The following is a 26,115-nucleotide window of genomic DNA, read 5'->3' as shown; positions in this document are numbered from 1 at the left end:
GAGAGCGAGGGAGGGCTGTGAGGACTGCCAGCACGCTGTCACCTCTCACCGGGAGGCCAAAGTTTCAGTGAGCCTGAAATTGAGCCCCTGAACTGCAGCCTGGGTGACAGAGCAAGGCTCCATCTAAAAAAAAAGAAGCTAAACTTAAATGTGGAATGTGGCTCCCCTAGTGTCATGTTATCATAGCATCATTTATAATGGAAGATTGAACAAAGAACATTATCTTCAGCATACTTTCCTTTCTTAAACAGTGGAGCAAATACAAATCGTTCCTTAGTATGCACCAAGATTCCTGGATCTCCTTTTGGGTGCATGTACTCTTAAAATTAGGTGTGGCCATGGGACTTGCTTTGGCCAATGACATGTAAGTGAAATTGATGAAGATGACTTCTAGACCTGAGTATTTAATGGTTGGGAACATGTTCTGCATGCTCTCATCTATGCCCTGATACATCCTGAAGCATTGCATTGAGAAAGCAGCACCCTAAGATGATGGGGCCTTTATCATTCTCTGTCCCTGAGCACATATGATAGCAGCATACCCTGCTGATCCCCACTGGACATAGTGTGAATAAGAAATAAATGCTTTCAACCACTGTGGTTTCTGTGGTTGGTTGTTACCCCAATATAACTGGCCTATCCTGACTGACAAAGTCCCTCTATTAAAAAAAGAAAGTTTTTTTTTCCTGTAATTCTAACATTGCCAGAGAAAAGTTACTATATATTTATGCTATTGCCTTGATATAGACAAAGTTAAAAAATACTAAAAACTAAAAGGTTTATAGATCTTTCCTTTCACAGCTGAAGGATTAAAGCTGCATTTCATAATTTGTTTTGTTTTTTCTACTCCACTGATACCAACTGTGTCTCTGTATTTTTAGTATGCCTAAGGGAAATTATTGATAGTTCTGCTTTTACTATTTTATATCTTGAGAAAGGTGATTTATTTTATTTCATATTTATTTGCTCTAGTTTCAATATTAAGAAAAGAATATGAAGATCCATGACATGCAAAGAGAGGAAGAGTTGTTTTATTCCAATACAGAAGGAAAAAGCCTATCTATTTTTTTTGTTGTTGTTGTTTTTAAAGATTGAAGTCACGAAAAAATGATAGGAAAACCCGACCTGTTTACCAGACCATGTTTGATACATATTATTCTTTATTTCCATAAAATCTTTTAAATGTTCATTTTGCATGCAAATGCATAATGCTTTTTTTTTCCACTCATTCTCACACACATCTTGGAATCCCCTGTGAGCGATCAGCCTGGGAGAACAACCCTTTAAGATTCTGCTGTCTCTATTCATTGCATATACTGTAGCTCTGTACGTGTTTATTTTGCTAGTTATATGTGTTCAGGCAGGAATTCAAATATGTGATTTTCATTCTTGCTTTCCAAGGGAATTCTCCTGAGGGGAGAAAAACAATGTACGTGTTTCTCTTTTTATTTGACAAAACCAAAAACAATCCTGGATTTAGACCCTTACAAGGAAATATGTTCTACACAAAGTAAAAGCAAAAGACTGTCTTTGTTTCTCTTCCAGCTTTGAATCTAACCTGCTTTTATTAAGAGAGAAGATAGACAGCATAGCCTTAATTCTAAAACCAAGAGGTCTTTCCTGCTCCATTACCAGGCAGAAAGGACAGAGCATTTACAGACAAGTGACATTTCTTTACAGAGGAATGATGCCTTAACATGATCAGACTTTGTGTCTGAGAATCACTCATACAATCCTCTCATGTTAGGGCTCAGGTATGTAAAGCAAGCATGGCATCGAGGGCAGGACATTCTTAAAATGTTTAAAGGGGAAAAGAAATAAATAGTTTAATAACCAGTTTAGGGGAAAATGTTGTGACTTGTGGAGAAATATCCTACTTAAAGTTGGAGCTCTAATAAGGTTTCCTGGACCCATAAGTGCATGAAGTTCATAAAAATGTCCCCACCAACCAATTATGATTACTCTGTGCCTTTAATTATTTTTCAACTGATGTGGAACTCAAGATATTATCAGCTTCTGCTTTGCTGAGTTAGACAGCTGATCAATACAGGATAAGACAGAGCTTGAACAAAAAAATTCAGAATGATGAATAGAGAATGCTGCTTGAAAAAATTTTAAAATTTTTTGATATGGTCTTTGTTGGACATTTCCTCCTCTTATCTGCTTGTGTTTTCACTTTCAAGTTGATAACTCCTAGAGTGAGTTGAAACACGGTGATGTTTCTGCCATTCTCTTCGGAGTTCATTGTGACTTTTTTTTTTATCATCAGCAGAAATAGAGGAAGACTGAATTAAACAGGAGCTGCAGAACTTGCGAGTGCGATAACAATACAAATGGATTTTCTCTAACAGAGAAAAACAGCTGTCTCCATTATTTGAATGCTTCACCTTTCTCCATTCCATTAATTGGGTCTTTGATCACAAGCTGAGGTGGAGAGGCCCTGATAAGGAATAGGTTATTAGTAAAGCAGCCTAAAGGAATGAATTGGGCCCGGTACTTGCTGCAGAAGATGAGATAAACTCATAATGCCTGTGTATGTGAGTGGTGGAGAGTGATAGGGCCTCCGACTGCCCTGAACTGCTTGCAAAGGGAGAAGACTAATACTCTAGTGCTATGATAGCTAATGCAGGATATAAATTTAGCTCCCGGGAATGGAATAGGATAAAAATTCCATAAAGAGTTTTCTGTAAATGGCTTACACTTTTATATCAAACTGTGACAGAGTAGTCACTAAAAAAATAAAATAAAATAAAACAGTTTCTTGATCTCACTATATGTTGAACACAACTGGAGGCTTTCGTATAAGAAGGAGAAAAAAATGTCTGTTAAATTTGTTGACCAAGACATTAATAAGAGCACCCTTTGAAGTGCGGTAAAGCTACATTGGAGGAATTAAATCTGATTGAATCTAAGCCTGTTTATTTTTCATTTCTGCAGAGCGAGTGTTGAGCGATTTGTAATACTTCATTGTAAATCTTCAGGAACTTGCTATCATGTAATCCATTTTTTTTGCTGAAGAATATGACCACAGGGGACAAGGCCATATTGGTTTGTTGTTAATGTACTGGAAAGAGGTACTATGGAGAAAACAGTTAATATTAAATTACGAACACAAGGTTATCTTTCTGCTGCACATGCTCCACTGCCCTAGGCACGGGTAATCTGTTAATAGCATTCAGCCAAAATGACACCATTAAGGGACTGAAGCTACACATCTTTTGCAAGCTGAATGATGAATAAAGCTGGTTTTCTATCACCCTAGATGCAATAAATTATCCATGCTGCTAAAAATTGATACAAGACAGAAGTTTGATAGAACCAGCACCCAGACGTAAATGGAAGGCCAGGCTGGCAGGAAAGGACATGAAGATGTGAATTCTGCCACCACCGTGTTTTTATTCGTTGTTCTCTTTCCCCCTCCCCTAACTTTTTCAAGCTTTGGGGGCCACTGTGGCAAATACACTGTAGTGGCATTTTCATGGCAGAGAGCAAGGAATGACTGAGCAACAGAGAAAACGAATAACTCATACAATTATGATATTTATGTATATCCACATAATATGTATTATCCACACCTCAGAAAGGTTTGTATGTCAGGTCTACTTTGAATGAATCATTGCGTTTCGCTTCAGTTTCTGATTGTCAATGCCTGAATATAAAGCGAAGGACATTATAAATGGCTTGCATTGTGGAGCTATCTGATTGGTGTGTGGTACATTAAGAAACCATAACCTGCTCATACCTATTGCCCTTCACGTTATTTGTCCCATCAACATGCAGAATAAATAGCTGGGGAAACATTTTAGAATTATTTCCCATGATTGTTGTTCTCATTTTAAATTAATGCAAATTCTTAATAGATTTAAAAAACACAGAACACCTATTTGCTTTGGCAGAGTTCCTAATCATGTCAGGAAAAGAGACTTTCTAAATTGCAAGGGTAATAGTGAAACAATTAAAATAATACATTAAGTCAACATATGAAATTTGTACCATATTCTCTGGCACTGGTAAGCACTGGAGAGGTAAAGATAAAAAGAATATGCTTCCTTAAAACCTCACAATGTAGTGGAGACTTGGACAATTGCATGTTATAACGCTATGGAATATTATAATGATGGAGGTTTGTATGATGCTATACAGTCTTGGAGGAAGCCCTAGGTCTGCTACGGCAGTCATGACTGGCTTCTCAGAGGAAGTGACCAGCACACAGAGAACTTGTTTTGACAACCTAGTACAGAGGAAATAAACCCAACCAATAGACCCACTTATGATTTTCATCATATTTCGTTAGGCTAGAAATAGCAATATACACAGAAGCAGATACTTTTAGTTAACCACGGAATTCAGGTCACATGATAATTGAGAGGAGTATATGAGGTGTTTCTAGAGGCCCAGAGTGATGTTTATGCTGGACTTAGGTTACCAGGCAGGAGAGGTTTTGAGGTCTATGACATCATCCCCAGCCTCTCTCTCTCCCTCTTTGCTACCAGTCATTCACTAAGCACAGTGTTCTACACTTAGATATCTGTCATTTTGATCTGCTTTGTTCCTTCCTTATTCACATAACTATAGAGAATCATAATCTCTGATTTGCATCCCCACCTAGCCTCTTCACTGGCATCTCTGCCTCAACTGCATTCCTCTCCAAACCCTTCTCTAGAAGGGGGCAAGAGTGATCTTTCTAAAACAAACATTGAACTGTCATTCCCCAGTTTAAACTTTTCCTTATGATTGCATTTAAGATGAAGGCCAAACATTTTAATCTGGTTCCAAAGCTCAGTGTGTTTTGGCCCTGCTACTTCTTGAGTGCCCTCTCTGGTCACTGTTTCCACCATTCTCTGCATCTGGGATGTAATTACTGGAACTACCTCAGTTTCTTAGTTTGGAACCCTTATCTACCTTTGAACCTTCAAGTGTTGGTTGCCTTAGTTTCCATTCTCTTTCCACACCCATCATCTCATTCCTTTCTTTTTCCTGGCTGAGTTGAATTTAACATCCAGATGCTAGAACTTCCCCTGACAACTAAGTATGGGGCTGGTACCCTTGTCTCTGCTCTCGTAGCACCTTGGGTTTGCCAGTCTTAGTACCTAAGATTTCCCTGAGGGGTGTGCATCCTGGGAGTGTAGGGTCTGTGGCTATCTTGTTCACTTAATATCTCATCATAGTGCCTGGCATTCTGAGCAGTGAATATTTGTTGAACATTTGAAGAATGAGATGGACAGCAAACGAACAGTGACTGGGATCAATGGTTGGAACAAGCACAGGAATATCACTAGGACTGTAGGAAATGCACTGAGATCGTTCAGGCCCTCAGAAACTTTTCTCACGGACTGAGTGGAGAGAACTGGGTGAAAGACCAGAAACTGGTACAATGGGGAACTAACAAAATAAGGAAGCTCTATTATTTATTAGGGTGGTTTACAAGCTGCAGTGTATTGACAGGAAATAAGCCTTTATTAGAAAAGGAGAAAGAAGAGATTGGGCAGTATTGGCTATTTTCTTTTATGCTAAGTTGGTAAAATTGAATTAGGATGTTGCATACATTTGCTATATTGTTGCTAACCTTTGCACTTAATTTTGTACTATGTGGACATTTTGGTATTATAAGAGGTAGACATAATGTAGTTAGGTTATTTTCAATGCATTATACCAAGAATATATACAAATACCAGAATGAAATGACTGTAATATAATTCCAATTAAAAACTGATTGATTAAACAGAAATTACTTAGTTTTATCTTGTTCCAGAAACTGGTAGACAGAGGATGAAGAGTATGAAGGGTGATGTGGACTTTCAAAGTATCCACAGCCTGGGAGAAAAGACTGAAAATGCAAGTGAAGAGTTGACTACAATGAAGTGTCATGAGTGTTACAACATGGTGCCATGCAGGGTAGATGCTGGGGAAAGTGAGAGAAAGAACATTTCTTAGAGAAAATGACATTTCCGCTGCATTTGAAAAACCCAGGAGTAATGAGGAAGGAACACTGGAAGAAAAAGGATATTACAAGCAAAAGAAATAGCAAAGACAAAAAGTCAATAGAGGGACTTTAAGGAGTTTCATGGGCTACTACTTCAGCATAGCCAGGATTTTTCAGAAGGGCACTGTTCTGAACTGTTTTTGTCTCATTGTTCCGTGAGATTACTTACACTTGTCAGATCCGTCAGTGCTCCTGGTTTCCCAGAGTACTCACAAGGCATAGGTTCTCTGTGTTATGATTTTTTCCACTGTCTCCAGCAACAACCTTCTTCCTATCTTCTCCAACAATACTGAACTGCTTGTTACTTCTTCCCTAACAGAGTAGTTCCTTTCCTCCACACCTTCATCTGTAGTACTCTCCTCTCACTGACATACTCTTCCTCCCTGCTCCCATTACCACTTCTTCTTCCATCCCTGATGCCTTCCCTCTGTGCTTTAGTTGTAATAAATATGCTGCATTATTTATTCAATGAGGATCTCTCAAGCATCTCCAGGTACTTAAAAGCATAAGCTCTGGAGCCAGAGGCCTTGGGTGTGAGTACTCTTTGCCAGATTTATTAGTTGTGTGAACTTGGGAAGTTTGCTTAACCTCTGTATATGCTCCACTTTCCTCATCTGTAAAGTGGGAATAATTATAATATCTATCTTACAGAATTTGAGGGAAGATTAAATGAAACAATACTTTAAAGAGTACTTGGAACATATTGATAACTCAAAATATTTGGTATGTTTTAATTATTATCATATGATGATTAATTATCACCATAAGCCAAGCTCTAAGCTTACATAGTAAAGACATAAAAATGCATAAAACGCAGTTACTGCCATGAAAGAGTTCACAATCTACCTACAAGCAGACACATAACCAGATAGTAATAAGATAGTGTAGATTGTTTCATGATTTGCACAAGGTGATGCTAGAAGCAGCAGCAGTTGTCTGAAGAAGCAGCAGTTTCTTACATTTTGTAGAACCATTGAGATGGATATTCAAATTTATCTGAAATCTGCTCAGAAGATTACCAAATATTTTTCAGCCAAGTCTGCATAAATTTGGCATTGAGGCATCAGTGTAAATCAGAGGAACCTAGTATAAATTGATTATCACAGATGAGCATTAAATTTAGTTCTGAGAATAAGAGAATCACAGTCTTTCAAATGGGAAGGAATCCTTCGCATTCATCTAGCCCTATGTCTTTATCTTACAGATGAGGAGACTGTGACCCTCCCAGTGGTTAAGTCCTGGGACTAGGGTCATGCAGTGCATTAGTGACAATGCAGAAGGTAAAACCTAGATTTTCCCAATCTCACTCAGTTCAGCTCCCTTTCCATAATTGCACTGACATCTCTTTGGTTTTGTTCTTTTATTCCATGATTTCTTTCACAACCTGCATCCCAAGAAAAGTTAAACATGGCTTTTCAGTCTCATGTTCTTTATCTGATATTTGGGTATAGTCCTCCTTCAGGCTTGGAGCAATCTCATGCATCCTTTGGAACCTGGAAGATACCTTGTGTCCTCTGCATAGCCAGCCCTGAGGGTACCAGCCCAAAACAACTTCTTCCTTTTTCAATGTCACTGTACTGAATTTTCTGAATCTGTATTTGCGGCACTTCATTGCCGTCTGTACTATTTCGTGTTTCATGTATTTCCCTTGGGTTATTTCATATACATAAGTATTTGCAAGTGAAAACACTAATCATAAAGCATTTGCAAAGAGCCTAACAGTATGCTACTAGGCATACAGGATGCTCAAATGCATATTGAATGGAACTGACTTAAATTTAACTCCTCCTCCTTCAGGTTATAAGTCACTGGGGAGAAAATATGCCTTTCTTATTTTCCTACATATTTTGGGAGTAGTTTTGAACATCTTGCTTTGTGCTATTGGTAAAAATTGGGCTTTCATGTCATTTATTTGAAAAAATTAAAAACCAAAAAAAATGTTGTGAAGGTAACAGCCTCAAAGCAATTATGCATTGATCTTTCATTCATTCAACAAATTGAGCATTCAGTCAGTTAGGCTGTGTGCTTAACAAACATAAACAGATGCAAATTAATACACATTGTTTATTACTTGAATTGCTTTAAACTTGAGGCCTTTTTTTCCTTTCTGACTTTTCAGTCTTTTCTTTCCCCCTCCTGTTAATACAGCTCCCATATAAATAGTTGCTGGAGTTTGTAATTAACTGGCCAAGTAAAGAAAAGTCTACATTTTATGCACTACACTTGTTCCCCTTAGGATTACACAAGCCATTCGTTAAGCCTGGGACAGTCTTCCCCCTAACTTGCCTGGCTAAAACCTCTTCATCCACAAAGTCTCTACTCAGATGTCATTTCTATAAGCCTCTCTTGCAAGCTCCTGAGCCTCCTCTTTACCTGTATTCATAGCACCAATCACAGAATTAGAAGTGTCTGCTTAGGGATCTTGTAAAAACTAGACTGTAAGCACCTCAAAGACAGGAATAGCTTCTTATTCATTGTTTTAAATACAAACCTGGACATATTCTGTACATTCAGTAAATATTTGATAAATGCATGAACAAAATTGTTACTTTATGGTGTATAGATGGACACCCTGGGAGCATGTGACCAGTCCTGCATACCCCCTTGCAGCTAGAAATGAAACACTCTCTTTGGGGGATGTCACATTATAAGACAGATGGCTGTAAAATTGTGGTTTGTTAAAGGGTAGCTTTGAATATCAATCAAAATTAGTAAACTTGATTGCTTTATTAGCAAGCAGTAAACATGGTTGATCTTTGCAGCACTAGAATACTTATTTTAATAAAAATGATTGGAATGGCAAAGATGTTGGGGTTTGAATCAAAGGAGGCTTACCAGTTCACCAATCTGCTACTCTTGCTTTAGAAAGTAAATTCAGGAGGGATGGTGGCAGAGGTCCAATATGACATCTTTCTTCTTTTTAAATATATTTTTTCCTTCCTTCTTTTCTCTTTTTAAAATAGAAACACTGATATTTTTCATTTGTTAGCTCTTAGTCTCCTTACATATTTGTGTGCATAGAGAAGAGTTTTATTTTTAGTTTTTCTGCTCTGTGACAGAACAATGTTCTTACAATATATCAGTTTTTAAAATGTTAAAAATGCCTATTATTGTTATTCTTCTATTACACTACACTATTGGCATGCACATTTTTGAGATTTTTCTCTTATATGCTTTTGTTTTTAACCTGATTGTTTCACTGGATGCTAGAAAGGTTTGAATCTCATCTTCCTTTTCACTTTGCACTGTTGCCTCTTGCTTCTATTTACTTTGTCATACCTGCTTTTTCAGTTGTTTTAAATTTTTAGTAAGTTAAAAAATGCAAAGATGGGGAATTGAGCTGTAGGGGGCTTATTAAATAGCCCAAACTTATTTCAAATTTTTTAAACTACCTTTCCACTTGTTTCTTAAAAGTAGTATTTATTTTCAGAAAACTTTTCCCATCATGTTTTTGGCCAGGAGCATGTAGCCTGTCAGAGTCCCCATCTTTCTATTTGTAGGGTGGGAAGATTAGCCACCTCCTGTTATTGTGGAGCATGCTGAGTGAGTTAATTCTTGGGAAGAGCTTTGAATATTTGAATAAACGTTAGCTTAGATAAACTGTGATTGGCTAATGTGTGAATGCTGTGTGAATGCTCCCTGCATCTTGAACACTTCTTTAAAATTTACGGAGGACAAATCACTTGCTGAAGGCAGGACCTGGGGTGCAATATTGTTCAAAACCAACTTGCGCTTCCACTCTAGTCATAATTCCAAGCACCTTTGCGGCTCCTGCCATGGAGGTGCTTCTGTAGCTGAGATCTAGCTTCCAGTGTTTTCATCAAGCAATGAAACTGTAATTTATATGATGAAGAAAATGTTTATATTTTAATTTGTCATGTTTAATAGAAAAAATATTTTCTTTAGAGTTTGCTCTAGGATAAAATCTTGAGTCAGAAAAGTCCTCTGACAATCTCAACTAATTTTTTCTTCCTTTCTCCGACACAATGGTATTCTCACTCTTTCCTAACCCACTTCAGTTACCTACCCTACTATCAAGGCTGTGTATAGCTGTTCACATTCTTAATTGAACCAGAACTCAAGAGGTGTTTTATAGAACTCTTTATAATAAAGTATAAAATCAATGTTTTCTCACTCCCAAGAACACTTACCCTATAATCAAACTTTATGACAAAACAATTATTCTCTAATTATGGCTTCTAGGAATCAGGAAATGAATCTATTGATATTTTGAGGATAGGAATAATCTTTTCAGTGTCCTTTATATTATACCTCAATGAATTCAACTAATGATGCTAAATATGTATAAAACGTTCTGACATATTTTTTGAAGCCTAACGTTTTCTTCAGGGAATTTTTAGAATTCATGACAGTTTAACAGCTGGACCACCACATAAGGCAGTTAGGATATAAACTCTGAAGCTGGGATTTCTGGGTTTGATTCCCAGCTCTGCTATTTAAAAGCTGTGTGAATTTGGACAAGTCATATAACTTCTCAAGGAAGCTGATAAAAATAATGCTTATCTCTCTGTACATGTCAATCACATCAAGTGTTTGATAATATTGTTCTTCTAAATCTTTTTTTGAGTTTTTGTTGTTGTTTTAATTTCTGAGAGGGGCTGTTAAAATCTTCTACTATGTTCTTGGAATTGTACTGTATCCTTTTAAACTATATCAATTTATGCCTTATATATTTGAGCTATTATTTGTAATTACATACATATTGATAATTTTTTTCTGATTGTCCCCTTTCCATTAAAAATTCCCTTTTTATATTTGATAACTTTTTTGTCTCAAAGTCACTTTTTAATGATATTAAAATAGTAACTCCAGCCTTCTTATGCTTACTGATTGAGTAATATGTTATACTTTGTAAATTTACTTTCAACTATCTGGGTTTTTACATTTAAACTGTTTCACTCATAGGTATTATATAGTAGTGTCTTGCTTTAAAAAAATCTATTCTGTCATTCTCTGCATTTTAATTTGAGTTTCTAGACCATTTAATGCCTCCTTTGTCACATGGTCATCTTTCATGTTGTGTCTGTGTCTTCCCATGGCATTCTCCCTTCTCCGTATGTTGTCTCTGTGTCCTTTCTCTCCTTAAAAGGACACCAGTAATATTAGATTAAGACCTCTCTCCCCTAGTTCAGCACTGCCCCATCTTAAGTTATATCTTAAATACATCTGCAAAGACTCTATTTCCAAATAATGTCACATTCACAGGTACCGGGGTAAGAACTTCAACATGTCTTTTGGGGGGCACAATTCAATGCAAAACACTCTACTATTTACCATTTCTGTTGCTCTTCCTCCAATTCCTAGAAATCCAGTTTTTCTCTGATAACATTTTCTTTCATCCTGAAAACCTTCTAGCATATTTTGTATAGTAACTATACTGGTAAGAAGTTCTTTTAATTTCACTTAATCTGCAAATGTATTTAATTTTAAAGATAATTTTACAGATGCAGAAATATGAATTGACCATTTTTTTTCTATAATTTAAAGACGTTTTACTATCTTATGGTCTCATGTTTTCTATTAATAAATCCTGGGGCATTTGGATTGTTTCATTTTTCTCTACCTGCTTTTAAGTTTTTCAAAATTCCTTTCTTTATTTTTGTTTTTAGCAGTTTGACTAGTGTATTTATGTGTGATTTTCTTTCAGCCTATCCTATCTGGGATTTGTTGAGTTTCTTAAATCTGTACATCTATACCTTTTAGTATATCTGGGACAATTTCACCATGATTTTTTCAAGTACATTTCTTGTCCCAATTTTTTTTTCCTTTTCACATGAAATCCCACTTACATTTAAATTATGCCTTTTGATATTTTCCCACAGATTCCATAGGCTTTGTCTATTTTTTCAATCTTTTTCTCTATTCTTCAGATTGGATAATTTCTATTTATTTTCAATTTTACTCACTCTTCCCACTGTCATTTTCTTTCTGTTGTTGAGCCTATACAGTCAGTCTTTTTTAATGAGTTTTTTTGTTTTATAATTTCCACCTATCTGTTTTTCAGTCTCCATTTATCAGCTGTGTTCCTATCTTTTCATTGATTTTAATTAGTTTTCCATTACCTCACTGAGTATAGTTGTAACAGCTGCTTGTCTTATAGCTCTAACATTGGGATCATCTCAAGGTTTGATTTTTCTCTTGAAAATCCATCATATTCTTTTTTTTCTTTCTCTCTTAAAGTTTTTTTTTCTTTTTTTAATGTTTTAAATTTTAATTTTGTGGGCACATAGTGAGTGTATATATTTATGGGATACTTGAGATATTTTGATACAGGCATGGAATGCATAATAATCACATCATGGAAAATGGCTTATCTATCACTTCAAGCACTTATCCTTTGTGTTACAAAAAATCCAGTTATAGTCTTTTAGTTATTTTAAAATATACAATTAAATTATTATTGATTATAGTTACCCTGTTGTGCTATCAGATACAAGGTCTTATTCATTCTTTCTATTATTTTTTTTGTATCTATTAACCACCCCACCTCCACCCCACAATACCCTTCACAGCCTCTGGTACCATACTTCTATTCTCTAGCTTCATGAGTTCAATTGTTTTGATTTTTAGATCCCACGAATAAATGAAAACATGTGATGTTTGTCTTTCTGTGCCTGGCTTATTTCACTTGATGTAATGATCTCCAGCTTCATCCATGTCATTGCAAATGACAGAATCTTGTTCTCTTTTATGGCTGGATAGTACTCTATTACGTAAAAGTACCACATTTTCTTTATCCACTCATCTGTTGATGGGCACTTAGGTTGCTTTGAAATCTTGGCTATTGTGTGTAGTGCTGCAATAAAAATGTGGGTGCAGATTTCTCTTTGACATCCTGATTTTCTTTCTTTGGGGTATATACCCAGCAGTAGGATTTCAGGATTGTATGGCAGCTCTATTTCTCATTTTTTGAGGAACCTCCTAACTGTTCTTCATAATGGTTGTACCAATTTATATTCCTACCAACAGTGTGCAAATGGTTCCCTTTTCTCCACATCCTTGCCAGCATTTGTTACTGCCTGTCTTTTGGATAAGACGATATCTCATTGTAGTTTTGATTTGCATTCATCTAATGATCAATGATGTTGAGCACACCTTTTTTTTCTCCTTCTTTCTCCTTCTCTCTCTTTTTGTATGTCAATGCTAGCATAAATAACATTGTAATTCTTATATAGCCTACGGAACCTATTATCATTATTTGGAGAACGTTGAAATTTTTTGTTTGTTCTGTTAGTTACTCAACCTGGGAGGGATAGCCAGAATCCTCTGTAAGATACTGGGAGCCATATCAGTAATGAGTGAGAGACCATGGTGCTCATATGAGTGGCTGCAGTGCTCCACAAAGAACTTTGGTACAAGTCATACGTACATACATTGTCCAAAAGGACAATGACTCCACGGGAAGTCAGTCTAAAGACAGATGTTGGAATGCCTGTTGGAACAGCAGCAACATCTGAAAGGAAAGGACTTTATGATCAATAAGCATATATAATAATCTGAGGACTTGCAGCGGGGTGGTGGGAATTTTCAGAAACTCAAAGTACCTATAGCAACAACTTATGACAAAGCCCAGTCAAACCTGATTTGTTACTGTTATCATGACTCATTAAAATATGTAAGCTGATGACATCTGATGAAACCTGTGTTGTACCAGTGGCTGCATCGTTTTCTCATTTTAATGTGAGTTTAGTTCCATTCTGCCCTTTTAAATAGTTGATAACTTCACTGTCATGATTCTCACTTCAAATTTTCTTTAAATTCTTACTACAGGTGGCTGATAAAGATAACATTTATGTGACCAAGGCAGACTCATGTATTTTGTTATAATTTATTAATCTATGCTGTATCTGTCCTAAAAATTAAATAATTTCATTAGTCTGAAAAGTATTTGAATCTTCTAGGACAAAAAATCAGAAGAGGTCCATAGAGATCATTTCATTTAACCTCTAACTTAAAGTAAGACTTCCGAAGGCAGTATCTGATATCCACCTGTTACTAAATTTATAAGCCAAGAGTCTCTTCTTCTAAGAAGACTCCCATGACTTTGCACCTTGATAAGGATGCCCTTTCTTTGTCTTTCCTTAGTACGTCCTAATTTACAATATAATGATGATCACATTCAATTATAATAATTCCATTATTATGTTTTTCCACTTTTTGTCCACTTTGGGAGAAAAACCATGTCTAATTGTTTTCCCTATCATACTTAGCATAGTGCTTGGAACATAGAAGGCACTCAATAAATGACTGTTGATTTAAAGACCACAGTTAATATCTGATTATTACCAGATAGTCTGTCAAATGGCACAAAGCAAGAATCCATGGAAAGTCTTTTAAATTTAATGCAAGAATGGTAAAATTTTCATTTCTTTCTTTCTACTAGCATAACCAATAATATGTTCTATTTCTTACACTACTGCAGAAGTTACTGGACCCTGTGAAAAGTTGTACTGATTTATCAGATCAGTGATTAATGGTCTAAATCAATAATTTCTATTTTTATGCAGAGTTCAATGAGTTCTGAGGGCATATAAGCCTTCAACTATTAATACAGGTATTACTCATATTTCTTAACTCATTTTTAAGAGGTGGAGGAAAGGAAAGAGAAAGTTTAAAGGGAAGGGATGCACCGTGACTTGCCTTCATAAAAAGTTCATCCGAGGAAGAAGACATTTTACTGACAACTTCTTGGTTCTATCTTGTGAATAAAATCTGCATTTAGAGACAAAGGTAGGATACTGAAATTCCAAAACAGATTTAGCTCTATATTGAGCAAATGAGTTCTATGATATGCACAGCTGTGCAAGAACACCATGAGAGATGAATCATGTTCTTTATCTGGAGGAGTTTCCAACCTGTATAAAGACAACAAAGGCACATGAAAAGCTTGAAAAATGCAAAAGGCGACGTAAGTCAGGAATTAATGGTGTAGTGTGAACCAAAAGTTTCTAATGAATTTATCCATGAAAAAAAATTCTGTGACTTCTGTTGTCCTGAGAGAGGTGAAATTTCAAGGGGTTGGTTGCAGAGAATGTTTATAGCAGAATGAGGCACAGCTCTGGCATATGACTGGACCTCTGGTGTGCCTGGTGCATGGTTAAAGGCAGCAGTCACCACAGGCTCAGTGTTCCAGTAGGCTCTGTGCAGCTCTCATCCGCTGCTGAGCATGCTTCTCCTGGGGCAAGAATCAGCCTCAAGCCTTGAGAAGCAGCATTTATTTAGGGAAAGCACTCTAGTAGAGAGCATTTATGGTCTTTCTATTACCATTACTCTGTTGCTGTTACATTTAAAAGGGCATCTAGGAAGGAGTGAGGTCATTGAGCCACTTCCCTAAACAAGGAATAGGCTTATTTTGGAAATTTCTGTATCTTTTCATTCAGGTCTGAGTTTATGCTTTTCTGGCTCCTTTGATTTCAGTTCTTAAATAATCTAAAAGGAACCACTTAGAGGACAGAGAGTGAGTTAATCTTCATCTGCATATTTGATACACACTTGCTTATTCTCTTCCCTTCACTCCCTTTTCCTTAGCTCTCTTCATCCTGCTCAAATAAATCATCACATTACTCTAATTCTTACTATCCCTAACTTAATAAGGTACATTGCATTGCACTCATGGTATTTAAAAATGTGATTAAAACATACTGTAGCAGATGTGGCAGAACGAATAGTATTTCTAAGGCTGTTGGAAGACATTGGAAGTATCCCAAAGAATTATTCAATAAATTCTGCTGCTCATGAAACGAGAACGAGATTATTACTGATGTATTCATTCAAAACAAAAAGCTAACAAGAGGAGGAAAAAAAGAGAAGATTATTTGGTTAGAGAAAAAAAAACAACAAAAAGAAAAGAATTTTAAGATATAATTCTAAAATGAGCTGATAGAGTTTAAAGAACATCTGGGTAGCCTGTAGTAAACAGTTAAACTGTTATTTAAAAAAAAGCAAAATGAAAAAAGATGGAAAGATAAAAATGACTTTTCAAATAGTGACTGTTGGTGAGTGGATCAATAAGACCACTAGAAGAAAATGTGCAGAGGTTGCTTTTGTGTAAATAAGACAAATACTGGAGGTGTTAAAATTGTTTTGTTCCTAAAGTTTCCAAGGGAAGATCTTACTTAGTAAATAGTGAAGATATACAAAACCTTTAGGTTTTTAATAGCAATTCTGCTTGTGGCCAATTTGTTTCTGGGTTCTTCTTCTAGCCAAATGATACAACACATTTACATGATAAAACACATGATACAACTTTTGGATATATATAGTTTTGCATGTTTTGGTATTTTCCCTTTCTATTGATTTTTTTAAACCTTTATTCAGGGAGGGAAAGAAACCAGTTATTTGGTTCTTTCTTAGAGTAACAATTGTTTGGTTGAGATAAGAAATATCGGCTAAAATATTTGGAGTTTATTTGTGATTTCAATAAGTAATAAAAATTCTACCATCTCTTTTTATTGGTATTTCTGAATTTTTAACATTCAAGGGCAATTATTCTAACAGTCATGAGAATAGACAACATCTGCAGTTTTTGCCAACAAATTCTGACTATAATAAAGTTATTTGGAATAATTATCCTGATGGTTTTATGTACATTCTTGAAATTCTTTTAAATTCTCATTTATATTCTTTTTTTATTTTTTTAATTTTTATTTTATTTATTATTATTATTATTATACTTTAAGTTTTAGGGTACATGTGCACAATGTACAGGTTAGTTACATATGTATACATGTGCCATGCTGGTGTGCTGCACCCATTAATTGGTCATTTAGCATTAAGTATATCTCCTAATGCTATCCCTTCCCCCTCCCCTCACCCCACAACTGTCCTCAGAGTGTGATGTTCCCCTTCCAGTGTCCATGTGTTCCCATTGTTCAATTCCCATCTATGAGTGCGAACATTCGGTGTTTGGTTTTTTGTTCTTGCAATAGTTTACTGAGAATGACGATTTCCTATTTCATCCATGTCCCTACAAAGGACATGAACTCATCATTTTTTATGGCTGCATAGTATTCCATGGTGTATATGTGCCACATTTTCTTAATCCAGTCTATCATTGTTGGACATTTGGGTTGGTTCCAAGTCTTTGCTATTGTGAATAGTGCCACAATAAACATACGTGTGCATGTGTCTTTATAGCAGCATGATTTATAGTCCTTTGGGTATATACCCAGGAATGGGATGGCTGGGTCAAATGGTATTTCTAGTTCTAGATCCCTGAGGAATCGCCACACTGACTTCCACAATGGTTGAACTAGTTTACAGTCCCACCAACAGTGTAAAAGTGTTCCTATTTCTCCACATCCTCTCCAGCACCTGTTGTTTCCTGACTTTTTAATGATTGCCATTCTAACTGGTGTGAGATGGTATCTCATTGTGGTTTTGATTTGCATTTCTCTGATGGCCAGTGATGATGAGCATTTTTTCATGTGTCTGTTGGCTGCATAAATGTCTTCTTTTGAGAAGTGTCTGTTCATATCCTTTGCCTACTTTTTATGGGGTTGTTTGTTTTTTTCTTGTAAATTTGTTTGAGTTCATTGTAGATTCTGGATATTAGCCATTTGTCAGATGAGTAGGTTGCGAAAATTTTCTCCCATTTTCTAGGTTGCCTGTTCACTCTGATGGTAGTTTCTTTTGCTGTGCAGAAGCTCTTTAGTTTAATTAGATCCCATTTGTCAATTTTGGCTTCTGTTGCCATTGCTTTTGGTGTTTTAGACATGAAGTCCTTGCCCATGCCTATGTCCTGAATGGTAATGTCTAGGTTTTCTTCTAGGGATTTTATGGTTTTAGGTCTAACGTTTAAGTCTTTAATCCATCTTGAATTGATTTTTGTATAAGGTGTAAGGAAGGGATCCAGTTTCAGCTTTCTACATATGGCTAGCCAGTTTTCCCAGCACCATTTATTAAATAGGGAATCCCTGCCCCATTGCTTGTTTTTCTCAGGTTTGTCAAAGATCAGATAGTTGTAGATATGCGGCGTTATTTCTGAGGGCTCTGTTCTGTTCCATTGATCTATATCTCTGTTTTGGTACCAGTACCATGCTGTTTTGGTTACTGTAGCATTGTAGTATAGTTTGAAGTCAGGTAGCATGATGCCTCCAGCTTTGTTCTTTTGGCTTAGGATTGACTTGGCGAGGTGGGCTCTTTTTTGGTTCCATATGAACCTTACAATAGTTTTTTCCAGTTCTGTGAAGAAAGTCATTGGTAGCTTGATGGGGATGGCATTGAATCTATAAATTACCTTGGGCAGGATGGCCATTTTCACGATATTGATTCTTCCTACCCATGAGCATGGAATGTTCTTCCATTTGTTTGTATCCTCTTTTATTTCATTGAGCAGTGGTTTGTAGTTCTCCTTGAAGAGGTCCTTCACATCCCTTGTAAGCTGGATTCCTAAGTATTTTATTCTCTTTGAAGCAATTGTGAATGGGAGTTCACTCATGATTTGGCTCTCTGTCTGTTGTTGGTGCATAAGAATGCTTGTGATTTTTGCACATTGATTTTGTATCCTGAGACTTTGCTGAAGTTGCTTATCAGCTGATGGAGATTTTGGGCTGAGACAATGGGGTTTTCTAGATAGGCAATCATGTCGTCCACAAACAAGGACAATTTGACTTCCTCTTTTCCTAGTTGAATACCCTTTATTTCCTTCTCCTGCCTGATTGCCCTGGCCAGAACTTCCAACACTATGTTGAATAGGAGTGGTGAGAGAGGGCATCCCTGTCTTGTGCCAGTTTTCCAAGGGAATGCTTCCAGTTTTTTCCCATTCAGTATGATATTGGCTGTGGGTTTGTCATAGATAGCTCTTATTATTTTGAGATACGTCCCATCAATACCTAATTTATTGAGAGTTTTTAGCATGAAGGGTTGTTGAATTTTGTCAAAGGCCTTTTCTGCATCTATTGAGATAATCATGTGGTTTTTGTCTTTGGTTCTGTTTATATGCTGGATTACATTTATTGATTTGCATATATTGAACCAGCCTTGCATCCCAGGGATGAAGCCCACTTGATCATGGTGGATAAGCTTTTTGATGTGCTGCTGGATTTGGTTTGCCAGTATTTTACTGAGGAGTTTTGCATCAATGTTCATCAAGGATATTGGTCTAAAATTCTCTTTTTTGGTTGTGTCTCTGCCTGGCTTTGGTATCAGGATGATGCTGGCCTCATAAAATGAGTTAGGGAGGATTCCCTCTTTTTCTATTGATTGGAATAGTTTCAGAAGGAATGGTACCAGCTCCTGCTTGTACCTCTGGTAGAATTCGGCTGTGAATCCATCTGGTCCTGGACTCTTTTTGGTTGGTAAGCTGTTGATTATTGCCACAATTTCAGATCCTGTTATTGGTCTATTCAGAGATTCAACTTCTTCCTGGTTTAGTCTTGGGAGAGTGTATGTGTCGAGGAATTTATCCATTTCTTCTAGATTTTCTAGTTTATTTGCGTAGAGGTGTTTGTAGTATTCTCTGATGGTAGTTTGTATTTCTGTGGGATCGGTGGTCATATCCCCTTTATCATTTTTTATCGCATCTATTTGATTCTTCTCTCTTTTTTTCTTTATTAGTCTTGCTAGCGGTCTATCAATTTTGTTGATCCTTTCAAAAAACCAGCTCCTGGATTCATTAATTTTTTGAAGGGTTTTTTGTGTCTCTATTTCCTTCAGTTCTGCTCTGATTTTAGTTATTTCTTGCCTTCTGCTAGCTTTTGAATGTGTTTGCTCTTGCTTTTCTAGTTCTTTTAATTGTGATGTTAGGGTGTCAATTTTGGATCTTTCCTGCTTTCTCTTGTGGGCATTTAGTGCTATAAATTTCCCTCTACACACTGCTTTGAATGCGTCCCAGAGATTCTGGTATGTTGTGTCTTTGTTCTCGTTGGTTTCAAAGAACATCCTTATTTCTGCCTTCATTTCGTTATGTACCCAGTAGTCATTCAGGAGCAGGTTGTTCAGTTTCCATGTAGTTGAGTGGTATTGAGTGAGATTCTTAATCCTGAGTTCTAGTTTGATTGCACTGTGGTCTGAGAGATAGTTTGTTACAATTTCTGTTCTTTTACATTTGCTGAGGAGAGCTTTACTTCCAACTGTGTGGTCAATTTTGGAATAGGTGTGGTGTGGTGCTGAAAAAAATGTATATTCTGTTGATTTTGGGTGGAGAGTTCTGTAGATATGTATTAGGTCCACTTGGTGCAGAGCTGAGTTCAATTCCTGGGTATCCTTGTTAAATTTCTGTCTCGTTGATCTGTCTAATGTTGACAGTGGGGTGTTAAAGTCTCCCATTATTAATGTGTGGGAGTCTAAGTCTCTTTGTAGGTCACTCAGGACTTGCTTTATGAATCTTGTTGCTCCTGTATTGGGTGTATATATATTTAGGATAGTTAGCTCTTCTTGTTGAATTGATCCCTTTACCATTATGTAATGGCCTTCTTTGTCTCTTTTGATCTTGGTTGGTTTCAAGTCTGTTTTATCAGAGACTAGGATTGCAACCCCTGCCTTTTTTTGTTTTCCATTGGCTTGGTAGATCTTCCTCCATCCTTTTATTTTGAGCCTATGTGTGTCTCTGCACATGAGATGGGTTTCCTGAATACAGCACACTGATGGGTCTTGACTCTTTATCCAATTTGCCAGTCTGTGTCTTTTAATTGGAGCATTTAGTCCATTTACATTTAAAGTTAATATAGTTATTTTTGAATTTGATCCTGTCATTATGATGTTAGCTGGTTATTTTGCTCGTTAGTTGATGCAGTTTCTTCCTAGTCTCGATGGTCTTTACATTTTGGCATGATTTTGCAGCAGCTGGTACCGGTTGTTCCTTTGCATGTTTAGCGCTTCCTTCAGGAGCTCTTGTAAGGCAGGCCTGGTGGTGACAAAATCTCTCAGCATTTGCTTGTCTGTAAAGTATTTTATTTCTCCTTCACTTATGAAGCTTAGTTTGGCTGGATATGAAATTCTGGGTTGAAAATTCTTTAAGAATGTTGAATATTGGCCCCCACTCTCTTCTGGCTTGTAGGGTTTCTGCCAAGAGATCCACTGTTAGTCTGATGGGCTTCCCTTTGAGGGTAACCCGAACTTTCTCTCTGGCTGCCCTTAACATTTTTTCCTTCATTTCAACTTTGGTGAATGTGACAATTATGTGTCTTGGAGTTGCTCTTCTTGAGGAGTATCTTGGTGGTGTTCTCTGTATTTCCTGAATCTGAACGTTGGCCTGCCTTGCCAGATGGGGAAGTTCTCCTGGATAATATCCTGCAGAGTGTTTTCCAACTTGGTTCCATTCTCCCCATCACTTTCAGGTACACCAATCAGATGTAGATTTGGTCTTTTCACATAGTCCCATATTTCTTGGAGGCTTTGCTCATTTCTTTTTATTCTTTTTTCTCTAAACTTCCCTTCTCCCTTCATTTCATTCATTTCATCTTCCATCGCTGATACCCTTTCTTCCAGTTGATAGCATCGGCTCCTGAGGCTTCTGCATTCTTCACGTAGTTCTCGAGCCTTGGTTTTCAGCTCCATCAGCTCCTTTAAGCACTTCTCTGTATTGGTTATTCTAGTTGTACATTCTTCTAAATTTTTTTCAAAGTTTTCAACTTCTTTGCCTTTGGTTTGAATGTCCTCCTGTAGCTCAGAGTAATTTGATCGTCTGAAGCCTTCTTCTCTCAGCTCGTCAAAGTCATTCTCCATCCAGCTTTGTTCCGTTGCTGGTGAGGAACTGCGTTCCTTTGGAGGAGGAGAGGCACTCTGCTTTTTAGAGTTTCCAGTTTTTCTGTTCTGTTTTTTCCACATCTTTGTGGTTTTATCTACTTTTGGTCTTTGATGATGGTGATGTACAGATGGGTTTTTGGTGTGGATGTCCTTTGAGTTTGTTCGTTTTCCTTCTAACAGAGAGGACCCTCAGCTGCAGGTCTGTTGGAGTACCCTGCCGTGTGAGGTGTCAGTGTGCCCCTGCTGGGGGGTGCCTTCCAGTTAGGCTGCTGGGGGGTCAGGGGTCAGGGACCCACTTGAGGAGGCAGTCTGCCCGTTCTCAGACCTCCAGCTGCGTGCTGGGAGAACCACTACTCTCTTCAAAGCTGTCAGACAGGGACATTTAAGTCTGCAGAGGTTACTGCTGTCTTTTTGTTTGTCTGTGCCCTGCCCCCAGAGGTGGAGCCTACAGAGGCAGGCAGGCCTCCTTGAGCTGTGGTGGGCTCCACCCAGTTCGAGCTTCCCAGCTGCTTTGTTTACCTAATCAAGCCTGGGCAATGGCGGGCACCCCTCCCCCAGCCTCGCTGCCGCCTTGCAGTTTGATCTCAGACTGCTGTGCTAGCAATCAGCGAGACTCCGTGGGCGTAGGACCGTCCGAGCCACGTGCGGGATATAATCTCATGGTGCACTGTTTTTTAAGCCCGTCGGAAAAGCGCAGTATTCGGGTGGGAGTGACCTGATTTTCCAGGTGCCGTCCGTCACCCCTTTCTTTGACTCAGAAAGGGAACTCCCTGACCCCTTGCGCTTCCCAAGTGAGGCAGTGCCTCGCCCTGCTTCCCCTTGCACATGGTGCGCGCACCCACTGACCTGTGCTCACTGTCTGGCACTCCCTAGTGAGATGAACCCGGTACTTCAGATGGAAATGCAGAAATCACCCGTCTTCTGCATCGCTCATGCTGGGAGCTGTAGACTGGAGCTTTTCCTTTTTGGCCATCTTGGCTCCTCCCTCTGCCACATTTTCTTAATCCAGTTTATCACTGATGGACATTTGGGTTGTTTCCAAGTCTTTGGTATTGTGAATAGTGCCGCAGTAAACATACATGTGCATGTGTCTTTATAGCAGCATGATTTATAATCTTTTGGGTATATACCCAGTAATGAGATGGCTGGGTCAAATGGTATTTCAAGTTCTAGATCCTTGAGGAATCGCCACACTGTCTTCCACAATGGTTGAACTAACTTACACTCCCACCAACAGTGTAAAAGCGTTCCTATTTCTCCACATCCTTTCCAGCACCTGTTGTTTCCTGACTTTTTAATGATCACCATTCTAACTGGTATGAGATGCTATTTCATTGTGGTTTTGATTTGCATTTCTCTGATGGCCAGTGATGATGAGCATTTTTTCATGTGTCTGTTGGCTGCATAAATATCTTCTTTTGACACTTGTCTGTTCATATCCTTCGTTCACTTTCTGATGGGGTGTTTGTTTGTTTTCTTGTAAATTTGTTTGAGTTATTTGTAGATTCTGCATATAAGCCCTTTGTCATATGAATAGATCGCAAAAATTTTCTCCCATTCTGTAGGTTGCCTGTTCACTCTGATGGTAGTTTCTTTTGCTGTGCAGAAGCTCTTTAGTTTAGTTAGATCCCATTTGTCAATTTTGGCTTTTGTTGCCATTGCTTTTTGTGTTTTAGACATGAAGTCCTTGCCCATGCCTATGTCCTGAATGGTATTGCCTAGGTTCTCTTCTAGGGTGTTTATGGTTTTAGATCTAACATTTAAGTCTTTAATCCATCATAAATTAATTTTTGTATGAGGTGTAAGGAAGGGATCCAGTTTCAGCTTTCTACATATGGCTAGCCAGTTTTCCCAGTACCATTTATTAAATAGGGAATCCTTCCCCCATTTCTTGTTTTTGTCAGGTTTTTCAAAGATCAGATGGTTGTAGATGTGTGGTATTATTTCTGAGGGCTCTGTTCTGTTCCATTGGTCTATATCTCTGTTTTGATACCAGTACCATGCTGTTTTGTTAACTGTAGCCTTGTAGTATAGTTTGAAGTCAGTAGCATGATGCCTCCAGCTTTATTCTTTTGGCTTAGGATTGACTTGGCAATGTGGGCTCTTTTTTGGTTCCGTATGAACTTTGAAGTAGTTTTTTTCTGTGAGGAAAGTCATTGGTAGCTTGATGGGGATGGCATTGAATCTATAAGTTACCTTGGACAGTATGGCCATTTTCATGATACTGATTCTTCCTACACATGAGCATGGAATGTTCTTCCATTTGTTTGTGTCCTCTTTTATTTCAGTGAGCAGTGTTTTGTAGTTCTCCTTGAATAGGTCCTTCACGTCCCTTGTAAGTTGGATTCCTAGGTATTTTATTCTCTTTGAAGCAATTGTGAATGGGAGTTCACTCATTATTTGGCTCTCTGTTTGTCTGTTATTGGTGTATAAGAATGCTTGTGATTTTTGTATATTGATTTTGTATCCTGAGACTTTGCTGAAGTTGCTTATCAGCTTAAGGAGATTTTGGGCTGAGACAATGGGGTTTTCTAAATATACGATCACGTCATCTGCAAACAGGGAAAATTTGACTTCCTCTTTTCCTAATTGAATACCATTTCTTTCTTTCTCCTGCCTCATTGCCCTTGCCAGAACTTCCAACACTGTTGAATAGGAGTGGCGAGAGAGGGCATCCCTGTCTTGTGCCAGTTTTCAAAGGGAATGCTTCCAGTTTTTGCCCATTCAGTATGATATTGGCTGTGGGTCTGTCATAAATAGCTGTTTTTATTTTGAGATATGTCCCATCAATACCTAATTTATTGAGAGTTTGTAGCATGAAGGGCTGCTGAATTTATTCAAAGGCCTTTTCTGCATCTATTGAGATAATCATGTGGTTTTTGTGTTTGCTTCTGTTTATATGCTGGATTACGTTTATTGATTTGTGTATGTTGAACCAGCCTTGCATCCCAGGGACGAAGCCCACTTGATTATGGTGGATAAGCTTTTTGATGTGCTGCTGGATTTGGTTTGCCAGTATTTTATTGAGGATTTTTGCATTGATTTTCATCAGGGACATTGGTCTAAAATTGTCTTTTTTGGTTGTGTCTCTGCCAGGCTTTGGTATCAGGATGATGCTGGCCTCATAAATTGAGTTAGGGAGGATTCCCTCTTTTTCTATTGATTGGAATAGTTTCAGAAGGAATGGTACCAGCTCCTGCTTGTTCCTCTGGTAGAATTCGGCTGTGAATCCATCTGGTCCTGGACTCTTTTTGGTTGGTAAGCTATTAATTATTGCCTCAATTTCAGAGCCTGTTATTGGTCTATTCAGGGATTCAACTTCTTCCTGTTTTAGTCTTGGGAGGGTTTATGTGTCCAGGAATTTATCCATTTCTTCTAGATTTTCTAGTTTATTTGCATAAAGGTGTTTATAGTATTCTCTGATGGTAGTTTCTATTTCTGTGGGATCAGTGGTGATATCCCCTTTATCATTTTTTATTGGGTCTATTTGAGTCTTCTCTCTTTTCTTCTTTATTAGTCTTGCTAGCGGTCTATCAATTTTGGTGGTCTTTTCAAAAAACCAGCTCCTAGATTCATTGGTTTTTGAAGGGTTTTTTGTGTCTCTATCTCTTTCAGTTCTGCTCTGACCTTAGTTATTTCTTGCCTTCTGCTAGCTTTTGAATGTGTTTGCTCTTGCTTCTCTAGTTCTTTTAATTGTGATGTTAGGATGTCTATTTTAGATCTTTCCTGCTTTCTCTTATGGGCATTTAGTTCTATAAATTTCCCCCTATACACTGCTTTAAATGTGTCCCAGAGATTCTGGTATGTTGTGTGTTTGTTCTCATTGGTTTCGAAGAACATCTTTATTTTTGCCTTCATTTCGTTATGTATCCAGTTGTCACTCAGGAGCAGGTTGTTCGGTTTCCATGTAGTTGAGCAGTTTTGATTTAGTTTCTTAATCCTGAGTTCTAGTTTGATTGCACTATGGTCGGAGAGACATTTTGTTATAATTTCTGTTGTTTTACACTTGGTGAGGAGTGCTTTACTTCCAACTACGTGGTCAATTTTGGAATAAGTGTAATGTGATGCTGAGAAGAAGGTATATTCTATTGATTTGGGGTGGAGATTTCCATAGATATCTGTTAGGTCTGCTTGGTGTAGAGCTGAGTTCTATTCCTGCATATCCTTGTTAACTTTCTGTCTCATTGATCAGTCTAATGTTGACAGTGGGGTGTTAAAGTCTCCCATTATTATTGTGTGGGAGTCTAAGTCTCTTTGTAGGTCTCTAAGAACTTGCTTTGTGAATCTAGGTGCTCCTGTATTGGGTACATATACATTTAGAATAGTTAGCTCTTCATGTTGAATTGATCCCTTTACCGTTATGCAATGGCCTTCTTTGTCTCTTTTAATCTTTCTTGGTTTAAAGTCTGTTTTATCAGAGACTA

The 26,115-nt window shown here is 37.6% G+C and overlaps 1 annotated feature.

Moving 5' to 3' along the window:
- Positions 1,841-3,700: an enhancer, noted in NCBI's record as "VISTA enhancer hs669". NCBI's record gives its function as "enhancer in: midbrain (mesencephalon)[6/6]" and the evidence as "EXISTENCE:transgenic organism evidence [ECO:0001131][PMID:17130149]".

Source organism: Homo sapiens, chromosome 8 (genome assembly GCF_000001405.40).
Source record: "Homo sapiens chromosome 8, GRCh38.p14 Primary Assembly".
Classification (NCBI taxonomy): Eukaryota; Metazoa; Chordata; class Mammalia; order Primates; family Hominidae; genus Homo; species Homo sapiens.
Note: the sequence above shows the minus strand (reverse complement) of the source record. Positions and strands in the feature narration are given on the sequence as shown.